Genomic DNA, 13,543 nt, shown 5'->3' with positions numbered 1-13,543 from the left:
TTTTCTTCTCTTTTTTTTTCTTTACTTACAGGCAGTACTTAATTTTCCTAAATATTGTGAACCCGTGGTTAAAGGAGAAGGTAACTGTGTAATTTTACTCATTAATATTTATTTTGAGAAAGGTTTTTACAAGATATAAATTACTGAAATTTTCTTCCCTTTGGGGTAGCAAGTGAACGTGATACTCGCAAACTGTGGAGAAATATTGAACCTCATTTGAAGAAAGCTATGCAGACTGTTTATCTCAGGGAAATATCAAGGTAATTTTCTATTTAGTATGCATACTAGTTTTTATATCTTTATTTGGGATATATACTCTCTCAACTTAAATAACAGAGAGAGGGACTCTAAAAGAAAAAGATATCTGTTTGAGGATTGGCATTGCAATGGGAAAGCACATGCTGTAGTAAACTCTGCATCTTCAGGGAGGTAAAGGAAGACAAGGTTTTTAAAGGAAGAATGAAGAGAATTACATAATTGTTTTGAGATAATTATTCTTTGCTACAAGGATCAATTACAAGGATGGCGCCAGTTCAGAGCTGGACAGGGATTTGCCTGGCAGATGTCCTCATGGAGGTATTTTTTGTGGAAGATTGCATTAGCCTTTATACAAGGTTATGTTTTTTCCTGTCTTTTGTAATAGTTCTTTTTATCAGACATTATGCATGTGAACCCTTCCTTCATGGCCTTTCTTGGCTCTGTTTGTCAGGATTTTTAACACATGTGACCCCATTTTGATTCTGACAACTTTTTTCTTTTAATCAAGATTTTTCTCCAAAATCATTGCTGATCAGTCATCCTGTAGTTAGATTTTTATTGTCCCTTGGTGCCAGAACGGAGCTGTCCTGGGTTGTTGTCTGTTCACATGTCGAAGGGAGTGAATGGTGGCTAGGAGTCAGTGTCAGAACTCTTTTAGCCACAAGGGAGGTTTGAAGGGAGTGGCTGAGTCTACCTAGAGTCCGTTGTTAAGTTAATTTTGTGTGTTCCATAGGTGTTGGCTATCATTGCAAAGTGCTTGGGCCAGCATTGTTCTGTTAGGAGTTGTACTTCTGCAGAAATTGTTTTTTGAGACGTAGTTTCGCTCTTGTTGCCCAGGCTGGAGTGCAATGGCGCAATCTTGGCATACTGCAACCTCTGCCTCCTGGGTTCAAGTGAATCTCCTGCCTCAGCCCCTCGAGTAGCTGGGATTACAGGCACGCACCACCATGCCCGACTAATTTTTGTATTTTTAGTAGAGACGGGGTTTCAACATGTTGGCCAGGCTGGTCTCGAACTCCTGACCTCAGGTGATCCACCTGCCTTGGCCTCCCAAAGTGCTGGGATTACAGGTGTGAGCCACCACACCCGGTCACTGCAGAAATTTGACAGGCAACAAGTACAAAGTTTACAAAGGAAAATACAAAGTAAAATGTATAGTAATATGACAATCTCAGTTTGTATAGTGCTTTTGAACTGTGAACCTCCGCTTAAAGGGAACCTACTGAATAAATCAAATGACCACAGAGAGTTAGGTGAGACTTCTAACCATGTGGCCTATTTTCTTATTTGGTATATATGGGTCTCACCTTTTCCAGAGGAATTTATTCGGGTACAGCTTGTGGTATTAGCGGTAACACCGACATTTCCTTATGTAACCAATCCGTTTATCATCTAGTATTACATGACTGAGTTGAAACAAAGCAGAGTGAGCAACAATTGTATTAAGGATGTTGCCAAAGTTGCCCACTAGATGGACTAAAGAATCTTTTAGGTCAGGTTCTGTCAACTTACCAGCAGAAGCTGCTAATTGTAAAATTTCAATTATACCATTATCCTATCAAGTGAAAATGGTAGGCATTAAGAGGAGTAAGAGTCTCATTATGATGTGGAGTCTTGTTCTAATATCTTCGAAAAAACTGTTTCTATCATGAAACTGTCAACTTCTTATCCTGCTTTGCAGTTCGACTGTCTCTGGTTATGGCATTTAGTGGTTTGTTGACCCTTCTGTGTGGTCCACACATCAGGTACAAGGTTTGTTCCTTAAAATTCATCTAGCTTCAATGTATAAGGCTTCAGGAACAAAGTAGTCCCCCTTTTTAGTAATTTTATAGAAGAAAGTTGGATTGGGGGAACCTAGAAGAATTTAGAATCTAGTCTAGGCTACAGGTTGATTAAAACTCAAATACAATGCATAAAACTGCAAACTAATAACAGGTACATTATAGCTTTTTTTAAAGAAACATAACCTTTTCTCTCTATGTTGATCACATAGATTTTAAAACCTCTTGAGTCTAGGAAGTCAAACCAAGGCCGATTTAAGATTTTAGTTCCTGGGCCTGCCAGGAAGTGGCATTTTTTACTCACTCACTGTAAGGCTGAGAATCCTTGAAACCAGGCAATTCTGTGCACATTTTCTTTTTTTTTTTTTTTTTGAGACGGAGTCTCGCTCTGTCGCCCAGGCTGGAGTGCAGTGGCGCGATCTCGGCTCACTACAAGCTCCTCCTCCCGGGTTCACGCCATTCTCCTGCCTCAGCTTCCCGAGTAGCTAGGACTACAGGTGCCCACCACCACACCTGGCTAAATTTTTTTTTTTCGTATTTTTAGTAGAGACAGCATTTCACCGTGTTAGCCAGGATGGTCTTGATCTCCTGACCTCGTGATCTGCCTGCCTTGGCCTCCCAAAGTGCTGGGATTACAGGCGTGAGCCACCACACCCGGCCTCTGTGCACATTTTCTAATATGATATGACAGTCAAAGTCTTGGTAATATAACCAGTGTTTCCAATTATATCCTGTTATAAAGAGAGAGCAAATTCTTATTGAACTTAGTGAATAAACATATTTTCAAGGAGAAAAAAAATACCCATGAATAGTTTTTGAATTTTAGAGGAATGAAATGGGGAGAAAAAGCAGGTGCTTCACCTTGGTTCACAAAATATACTTTACTAAATTGCTAATTAGCAGTTCCATAAAACTATAAACTATAGGTAGATTAAGAGAGAAAATTTTCTCAAATCTGGAAAACAAAAACAAGCAAAAAACTAATGTTTCAAATAAAAATCATAAAAACATCCTCATCAGTTATTCAATCTCATGTAATTAATTTTTGTTCTGTTTGATCTTGATTAGCAGTTTCATGAGCCCATCATTTCTTCATTAGAGTTCTGATAGATTTTTATTGAGTCCATTGATCTTTAAGTTACTAGAAACTTGTATTTAAGAGTACTTGTTAGAATCTTATTTTATGAATCTGATTGCAAATGCTTTTAGATAAAAATCAGAACAATAACTGTAGGATGACAGAGACTTAGAATAGCCATGGATAAAAATTTGATGAAAGTTTACCATAATCAGAAATTGACAAGGAAATTTGATGATTTTTGTGGCATACATATAATGACCACAATTATGACTTGATGATATATTAGATCTCTAAGTTTTATGTAATTTTACACTGATATTAAACACATACCTATAAATATAACTGAAAGAAGATCCAGTATTACTTACCATTTGGCAATGCTTCTTACACAATTTACAAAATAAATTTAATCATTTAATATCTTTACAATATGAAAAATATGTCTTTTGAGGCTTTCCAGGGGCCTAGCTAGAAAATCCAAGTTAGTTCTAGGTCAAAAATATTTAATTTAGAATTTTGATATTGGGGAGGGAGGTCTATCAAAGATGTGAAAAGGTTTAAAACACCTGATCAAAACAGGATCACAGGTCACTGTGAAATGATAGTCATTCATTTAACCAGAATGATAATCAGAGGACTTCAAAAGCAATATAGAAAGTTACCTGGATTTAAAAAACATTAACCCTTTCAAAGCTATTTTCCTGAGTAATAAAAAATAAAAAACTAGTAAGAAAACACAGAAAGTTATCTTGATAAAATGCAAAATATTTGTTTCTTGGGACAGTTACCAAAAAAGTAAAGAAAAACCTCTTGCAGTATGATTGCTTCTCCTTATGGGAAGCCCATTTAGATAACCTGGAAGTTGAACCCAGTGAAAACAGTACTTGAATTTAATCAGACACAGGAAGAATGTGTGGTCAAGCTTGTGAGAACACACTATGAGTGTAAACAGAAAACTAGTACCTTGAGCAGGGAAGTACATGGCTTTTAGTAACAGCATGGGAACTTTTCTGGTTACATGGAATAATTCAGACACATTAAGAAAAGCCAAGTGTACAGAATCAAGTTATACTGGAGGAAAACATTGCTTTTGTAGGCCATCAAGACAAACATTTTAGAGTTAGACTTTAACAGCAGAGTTATAATCAGAGGAAAAAAGTGACAGGAGCTGATGAAAAAGTTAAAAGAGAGAGTTATCACCTCAATCAAGATTAAAGGTGTACTTTCTCAAGGGGAGAAAGAGTTGAAAGCAGTGATGTATGACATGCAGTAAGATGCAGCAAACATTAAACTTCTGAGATATAAGTCTGAGAAGCTTTAAGAGGAAAACTCTACCTCAAGAAATGAAATTACCATCCTAAGTGAAGAAGACAGCTTTACTAACGTGAAACTAGAAAATTAAATGAAGACTGTGAAACAGAAAAAAAAAACAACAAAAAAAACTGCAGTTTAGAAGATGGCTATTAAGAAGCAGATTTCAGAATTCAAAGTGAAAACCTCTAATTTTTACTAAGAGCAGATCAATACTTAGGAAAAAAAAAAACTTCTTTCTAATATAGTGGACCAAAGTTTTAGTTTTATATTGTGGATTGAGGGATATATTTATGTCGAAGTTTAATCTTTGGAAAGACTTACAAATAATTCCCTTCTAATTACAGCCAGCTTGATCACACACAAATTTAATAAATCTACCCTTCACAAACCTTGTAATGACTTACGTAAACCATCCATGACATGCTTAGATCTTTAGTTATTTTCTTATACTTTTAAATAACTACATTTAGGACAAACTATTTACCACACAAAATTATTTCTCAAATTTATCCTTTTTTTTGACTGGGTGTGATGCTTCACACATATAATTCCAGCACTTTGGGAGGCCAAGGCAGGACAATTGCTTGAGCATGGGAGTTCAAGACCAGCCTGGGAAACATGGTGAGACCCTGTCTCTTAAAAAAAAAAAAAAAAAAAAATTCACTTTTCTTTTTAACCTTCTTTTACCAAAAATACATCTTTATACCCTTAACTTTGCACATCTGTGTCTCCTACTTACTGGTTCCTTTCTGTCATGTTTCTGTTTTCTTAAATTTACTTTCTAAAATAACCTTAAATAACCTTCAGAATTTTGACAAAATTATTCTTTTTTCTCAATAAAGAACACTTTTTTTTGGCTTTGTAAGAATTCTCATTAAAAATACATCTTATGTTTCGGGATACACTTTGTGTACAGAATTATATATGTTAATCAGAATTGTTAAGGTAACTTTTAGTAACCTTATTAATAAATGGTGCTAGGAAAACTGGCTAGCTGTATGCAGAAAACAGAAACTGGACCCCTTCATACATCTTATACAAAAATTAAGATGAAGTAAAGACTTAAATGTAAAACCCAAAACCATAAAAACCCTAGAAGAAAACCTAGGCAACACCATTCAGGACATAGGCATGGGCACAGACTTCATGAATAAAACACCAAAAGCAATTGCAACAAAAGCCAGAATTGACAAATAGGATCTAATCAAACTAAAGAGCTTCTACACAGCAAAGGAAACTATCATCAGAATGAACAAGCAACCTATGGAATGGGAGAAAATTTTTGCAAGCTACCCATCTGGCAAAGGTCTAATATCCAGAATCCACAAGGAACTTTAACAAACTTACAAGAAAAAAACAACCCCATCAAAAAGTGGGCAAAGGATATGAACAGACACTTCTCAAAAGAAGACATTTATGTGGCCAACAAACATGAAGAAAGCTCATCAGCACTGGTCATTAGAGAAATGAAAATCAAAACCATAATGAGATACCATCTCAAGCCAGTTAGAATGGCTATTGTTAAAAAGTCAGGAAACGATGCTGGTGAGGCTGTGGAGAAATAGGAATGCTTTTACACTGTTGGTGGGAGTGTAAATTAGTTCAACCATTGTGAAAGACAGTGTGGTGATTCCTCAGGGGTCTAGAACCAGAAATACCATTTGACCCAGCAATCCCATTACTGGGTACATACCCAAAGGATTGTAAATCATTCTACTATAAAGACAAATGCACACCTATGTTTATTGCAGCACTATTCACAATAGCAAAGACTTGGAACCAACCCAAATGCCCATCAATGATAGACTGGATAAAGAAAATGTGGCACATAAACACCATGGAATACTATGCAGCCATGAAAAGGATGAGTTCATGTCCTTTGCAGGGACATAGGTGAAGCTGGAAGCCATCATTCTCAGCAAACTAACATAGGAACAGAAAACCAAACACTGCATGTTCTCACTCTAAGTGGACGTTGAACAATGAGAACACATGGACACGGAGGGGAACATCACACACTGGGGCCTTTTGCGGGGTGGAGGGCAAGGGGAGGGAGAGCATTAGGACAAATACCTAATGCATGCAGGGCTTAAAACTGAGATGATGGGACGAAAGGTACAGTAGATCACCATGGCACATGTATACCTATGTAACCTGCACGTTCTGCACGTGTATGCTAGAACTTAAAGTAAAATTTAAAAAAACAATAATTCTCATTAAAAACACATCTTATTTTTGGGGGTATACTTTGTGTACAGAATTATATATGTTAGAATTGTTAAGGTTACTTTTAGTAACCTCAATTTCTAGTAAAAACCTAGGAAGCAAGAAATTTTGTCACATGTCAGTTTTTTATAGATATGAGCAATTTTGTAATTTTATAAATATGTTTATAACCTAACTTTTATGTGTAGTGATAGTCCCAAATATAGTCTTTTCTTAGACTTTAAGAAGCCAAGAACAAACTTATGTTTAGTAATTTATATTTCAGTATTTTTTCTTATTTGGAAGTGATTCAGACATTTAATGAGTATTATTTAATTCAACTATTTGTAAATGTTTATGCCACCTACATTCATCTAATTTATTTATTTTTAACAAGTATAAGTAGATTTCTTACGAAAACTGAGGCATTAGGCAAGGCTAGTCATTAGTTCAAGCTATTTCCATGTTAATCATTTTTATAGCCTATGAATATCAGGTGTTCACCTAAGTGAGAATCTTAAAGTTGTGGGTATTTTGCTGATTACTTTGGAGACACAGCTGTTTTTATTAAACCAACAATATTCAATTGGTCTTATTTATCAAAGAGTTACACAAACAAAGATTGTTCTGTATTTAGGCTGAGTTTATAGTTTTGTACTTCTGTGTCAAACCCTTATACCTTATTAAAACCTCTTGTCTAGTAGAGACAAATATAAAACTGCCCGGCCCATAAATCCCGGCAAAAGTTTATGCCGACAATTCTGAAGACATTTCTATTTTTATTTTATCAACAAGTTTAAAACCAGCTTGCTTATTTATTTTTATATTTAAAAAAGTATTGAACTACTGTACACAAAAAATAAAATCCTGAGCTCCCAACAACTAAATGGACTGCTTGGCAAAGGGGACCTCACAAAAACCTGAAAAACTATTCCTAGCCATGAGGAAAAGGGAGGCTAGACACGTCCATTATAGCCCCTCCCTTTTAGAGCTTAGGCACAACTGACCATCATTAACATTAAAGCAGAGAGATCGTAAGACTGACAAAACAGACTCTTTGTGTCAATAAGAAACCAAATTCCAACTGGACTCTGATATAGAATCACATGACAGATAGCAGACACCGAAAGAAATCAAAGTATTTTACCGCAAAATATTTCTTTGACATATTTTGAAATGGCCCTGTAAAGCCTTTTTAATGCAACCAGGCTTTCCCTGTCTATGCCTTTCCCAGATAACTAGCTTATTTATTAAAGGTTCATTTAAGTCACATGTCATTTGGTTTAATTACTGTTTATTTTAACAGTTTTCATTATTATTGAAGCCAATCTGAATAGAATGCCCTAAGGGATTTCTGGACAACTGTGCCAGATTTTACCACGTAGACACAACATATGTATATATGTATAAACACAAACACATATACACACCAGTTTATAAAAGGATAGTTGGATCCAAACTATATTTCTGATAAAATTGGGACCTGTTCTCATGACTAAACTTTATTTGTCCCAGTAGGCAATCTTATGAAGACTGTGTACCAACATTTTGGATAAAGCAGTTTCTGTAGCAGTTTGATTTTTAAAAACACTTCTTTTTATCCTTTTTTCAGTTTCAAATAAGTTTAGTGTTACACATTCCAATGTTTATATTTTTTAGATAGGACTAGCTGAATTATATAAGAAAAAAATCTCCAAGTATCCTAGAATTAGTAACAAAACTGTCTTTTGTTTATTGGTCTGATTTGCTTGACTAGTCATTGTGGATGAGGAAGCGTTTTAGCAGGGTGGTTTTGGAAGCGTTTTAGCAGGGTGGTTTTGGTTTGTTTCAGCTTTTTCTAGTCCCTGCATGGCAGACAAAGCCATTTTTATGCCAGACAGAGAAATGTTATATTATTGCTCTGAGCTCAAGATTTTGACCTCTTTGATCTGAGAGCCTAACTCTTATAAACATTGATCTCTTCTTTTCTTTTAGAACATCCAACTCTTAAATTAACTGTTCCATCACTCAAAGCAATTGTTAGTAAGGCAAACCTAAATTTACATTTCCAGAAAATGTGTAGGTTGTCAGTTGCCATGGAGCTGATGTAATTTGTAAAACAATAATTTGAAAGCACTCTAAAACTTTTTCCCCCTTTGTTTCTATCTTGGCTGGAATGCCATAGCAGCAAGTTTATCTCAATACCAGCAGAAAAAGTTACTAGATTCAAAGTAGGCAGGAAAAAAATAGAGAGGTAGAGAAATTAGAATGCTCTACATATTTTAATTCTTTAGTTGGTTGCAGTTTTTTTAAATAAGTTTAAAGAGTTCAAATAATGGCCATTGTGCTCCAAATTTTCCTTGATGTCATTTTGTTACCAGCGGCAAATCCGTTTGGGCCTGCAGCAACCTCAATTCTTTTCTTCCCAGAAGAAAGAATTCTACCAAGGAAGCACAAGGCAGAAGGAGAGACAGGCAAGTTTTAGAGCAGGAGTGAAAATTTATTATATAGCTTTAGAACAGGAACAAAAGGAAGGAAAGTACACTTGGAGGAAGGCCAAGCAGGCGACTTGAAAGATAAGTGCCCCATTGACCTTTTACTTAGAGTTTTATATGTTGGCTTACTTCTGGGTTCCTACAACCCTTCTCTGATTCTTCCCTTGTGGTTGGCTGTCCATGTGTGTGCAGTGGCCTGCTAGTCCTTGGGAGGTGAGCATGTGCAGTGTGTTTACTGGCCTTGTACACATGCTCACTGGAGGTATTCTTCCCTTACCAGTGGAATGTCCCTGGAAGGTCATATACTAGTTAAATGCCTCTATTTTGCCTCTTACTGCACATGCCTGAGCTTACCTACCCAACTCCTGAGATCTTATTGGAAAGCTGCTGATCACCAGTTTCAGGCGTTTCTATCTATTGGGAGACTGCCGTTGCATGGTGCCAGCTGTGACCAATTATTAGCGATACAGTGTGACAATAGCTTGCCCATCACCCTAGGGTCGCCTGCTGTTCCTGGTGGGGTAGGGGGAGCCTTCTCCTGTCCTGCTCATGCCTGACTAGCTGCCTTCTGTAACAATTTGCCCATCAGTTAAAAAATATGCCCAAGAACAGTCCATAATATAGCTGGCTGGAATCCCCAAAGGTAGATTGTTTTGGCATGCCTTTAGAATTTGAGGATCCCATTTTGTTTCTTATTAATCACTCAAGAACAAAGAAAATCCCATAAATCTTGTCAGGGAGTATTAGGCATTTGGACCAGTGTTTTAGATGGTGGGGACCATCGTAGTGGCTTTTAATTAGCTAGGCTGTGCCCACCATTTAGAATGTTTATTTTTGCTTCTTGTAGATTCTTAGAAATAAGCGAGGGAAAAAAGCTAAATTATTTACAGATGTGTGTTACCAAACCAAAATGAAACCAAGATAAGAGTATTCACAAAAATTTTACGGCCGGGCGCGGTGGCTCACGCCTGTAATCCCAGCACTTTGGGAGGCCGAGGCGGGCGGATCACGAGGTCAGGAGATCGAGACCATCCCGGCTAAAACGGTGAAACCCCGTCTCTACTAAAAATACAAAAAATTAGCCGGGCGTAGTGGCGGGCGCCTGTAGTCCCAGCTACTTGGGAGGCTGAGGCAGGATAATGGCGTGAACCCGGGAGGCGGAGCTTGCAGTGAGCCGAGATCCCGCCACTGCACTCCAGCCTGGGCGACAGAGCGAGACTCCGTCTCAAAAAAAAAAAAAAAAAGAAAAAATTTTAAACCCAGGTATGCAGATTAAACAAAATACTAAATTAGGCATGCAGAACCAGAAGTGAATTCACCAGAAAAGACATACCTCACAGAACACAAATTTTATAGTAACCGGAGTATTCAAACCAGAAGGACACTTGTCCTTACCAGAAAGGGATTGCCAGAAAAGGCAAAAAGTTGTTATTATCCCAAGAGGATTGCAAGGCCCTTTATTAAGGTGCCCTTAATGAGATCCTGAATGAATTCAGGAGCTTCCATCAAAAAGCAGGAGGCTCACCAGGGCAGAAAAGGTGAGCTGCGGAAGCAGAAAGTTCAGAGGGCTCAAGTGAGTACTATATACCAGTTCTAAGAATTGCTGATTCCTTCTGAAGGTGATCTTGCTGCAAGTCCCACTTCTGACTCCAGATATGTCAACCTAAACAACAGAGAGGGACTCTAAAAGAAAATGATAATCTATTTGAGGATGGGCATTGCAGTGGGAATGCATATGCTGTAGTAAACTCTGCATATTCAGGAAGGTAAAGAGAGGCAAAGGTTTTTAAAGGAAGAATGAGGAGAATTACATAATTGTTTTGAGATAATTATTCTTGGCTACAAGGATCAACAACAAAGGTGGTACCAGTTCGGAGTTTGACAGGCAGTTGCTGGGCAAACATCCTCACAGGATTTTTGTATAAGGTTATGATGGCCTTTGTGCAAGGTTATGGTTTTTTCAGTTTTTTGTGATGGTTCTTTTATCAAGCATTATCCGTGATAACACTTTCTTCGTGGCCCTCCCTGGCTCTACTTGTTGGGGGTTTTAGCACATGTGACTCCATTATGTTACACAATTTGTAACAAAGCCTTTTTTTTTTTTTTTAACCTGGAAAGCTATAGGAAAGTCAGTACTAGCTTTGCCATATTTATGCTAGATATTTGAATGATATAATGAAAATTTGATTTTAAAATAAATATATGAACCGTTATAAATCGACATTTGTCTATTATTAAAATTTCTTAGTAGTGAAACAGCTCAGGAGAGACATGGTGGCACATAGTGTGTGAGAAGAACATGATTTTGACTTCCAGCTCAGCCATTGTCTGCCGTATGTGAACTTAGCAAGTCCTAAAACCTCTAGGCTTTGGCTTTCTCCTCTAACAGTCCTTAGAAGATTTAGATAATGTATCTGAAAATTATTGTAAATATTGAAGTGTCTTATAGATATTAGATTAAGCCTAGATTACAAATCAATATAGGAAACCTAAAAATATCAACACTGTCTGCTTTTCTTTCTAGTCAATTTTTTTTACCATTTTTCTCTCATGAATGCCTTATTCTATCACTAACTATTCCTTAATAATTTTGTTTGATTTCAGTTTAATTAACTGATTAGCCTATAATTCAGGTAAAAATTTGGTAGTTTCTTAATTAGCAGAAATACTACAAAGATACTATTACTCCTTTTCCTTTTTCAGTAACAAAAATTCATTTAATGAGAGTTTTTAGAAATCATAGAATGGAAAAGCTTGTGATCTTCTAAATGTAGGAAAACTTGTTTGCTTGTTAAAATGATTCTTACATAATAATGAAAGGACTTCTAGTCCCATAGGATAATTATGGCCACCTAAATTCAATTGTGTCCACAATATCAATAAAGAGAGCTAATAGAACCACCCATAACTCTTGCCTGCTGTATTAACAGGAGTTAGAGATTGCTACAAGCTTCATTTTATATACCAGTAGTGAAGTAAACAACTGAAACCAACAGGGCCAGCTCTGGAGCTCATGCTGAGGTGAAAAGTCAAACAAAGACTGAAAGGAAAAGAGAAGATTGTTGGGACAAGGGATACGTTGACTAGTAGTGGTGAAATACAAATGAAATTACTTGAAGAAAGAGAGTTCAACCCTGAGTGAGAAAGTATTGAACAGTTCTGAGGCTGGAAGGATTAGAGCACTGGCTACTGGAGAATCAAAGTGACATTTTGTTTTTTGTTTTTTTGTTTTTTTGAGACAGGGTCCCATTGTCTCGTCCAGGCTGGAGTGCAGTGGCAAGATCACAGCTCATAGCAGCCTCAACCTCCCTAGGTCCAGGTGATCCTACCACCTGAGCCTCCCGAGTAGCTGGGACTATAGGCATGCGCCACCACACCTGTCTAATTTTTTGTATTTTTTTTGTTTTAAGAGTATGGGGGCCAGAGTTAGCATGATAGTCTTGGGAAAGTACTGTTTTGAGGAGAGACAAGTAGTTGATTCAGAAGGGTGTGGTATTCCTTTGAGAGTTGGTAATGAAGGAAAAGAATGGAAAGAAAGGATAGAAATTAAAGATTCCTCTCATCCCCCAAATAAAAAAGAAATGACAAAATCAGAAGCTAATCCCTCCTTTTCATAATAGCACCATATATTAAAGAAACTTGACTTCATTATTTTTCCAGAAGGGAGCACTTTAGAATTAAGTAATTGTGCCATTCCGCAACCTTACCCCTGCATTCATAAAGTCACCTGTTATTACTGACCAAGCCAAACATTAGGTATTTCAAAATGAATAAAAGACAACATGGAAAAGCCATGTAAAGGTATTATTTAGGAAGAAACAGAAAATGTGAATAAAACAGTTTAGTTGATGAACATTTCCCCCTTAACACCCAAAACAAAGCAGAGGAAGACTGCAATACCACACCTTTACTTGGTTTAGGTTTGTTTAAAAAGCATTTTCAGGTATGGAAAGCATTCTTTAAGTTTGAAATTCAATAACTTAGAATAAATGGACAAAGAACAGGGGGATGTGAAATAAAAGTTGATCAAACTCAGGAGCAAAGTTCAGGCAATAGTAGTTATCTCAGAAATGAAAATGAAAAAATAAGATATCCAAAGGAAAGTAGATTCAACTGAGAATATAGTAAGAGACATTGAGGAAAGGACTGAAAATAATCAAGAGAACAAAACTAAAAAAAGAGGTAAAAATAATCAGGTAGGATGTGACAAATATGATAGACAAAGAAGATTTAACATATATTTAATTGGAGCTCCTGAAGACAGAAAAGAACAATGGATTGGAGTTAAGATCTAAAATTATAATCCAAGAAAACGTTCCAGAAATAGAAGACCTAGCTTTACACATTAAAACAGTTCATTTTCCCAATTAATCCAGAATGATCAATTCTGAAACTGTACTAGTATATTGTACTGTAACAAATTATCAGAA

The 13,543-nt window shown here is 36.6% G+C and overlaps 1 protein-coding gene across 3 annotated transcripts in view; it reads left to right on the top strand.

Annotated features, from left to right (window-relative positions):
* The window catches only part of ORC5 (origin recognition complex subunit 5), an 81,673-nt gene that overhangs the window by 23,811 nt on the left and 44,319 nt on the right, over positions 1–13,543 (top strand). For 2 of the 3 annotated variants that reach the window (NM_002553.4, NM_181747.4), the window contains exons 7-8: positions 32–80; positions 170–260. The exons of the other annotated variant lie outside the window; for it this stretch is intronic. In NM_002553.4, coding sequence (NP_002544.1) covers positions 32–80; positions 170–260 — 140 coding nt within the window. The remainder of the gene's footprint in view (positions 1–31; positions 81–169; positions 261–13,543) is intronic. 3 annotated transcript variants of the gene reach the window in all.

Source organism: Homo sapiens, chromosome 7 (genome assembly GCF_000001405.40).
Source record: "Homo sapiens chromosome 7, GRCh38.p14 Primary Assembly".
Classification (NCBI taxonomy): domain Eukaryota; kingdom Metazoa; phylum Chordata; class Mammalia; order Primates; family Hominidae; genus Homo; species Homo sapiens.
This window is presented reverse-complemented; position numbering and strand designations above follow the sequence as displayed.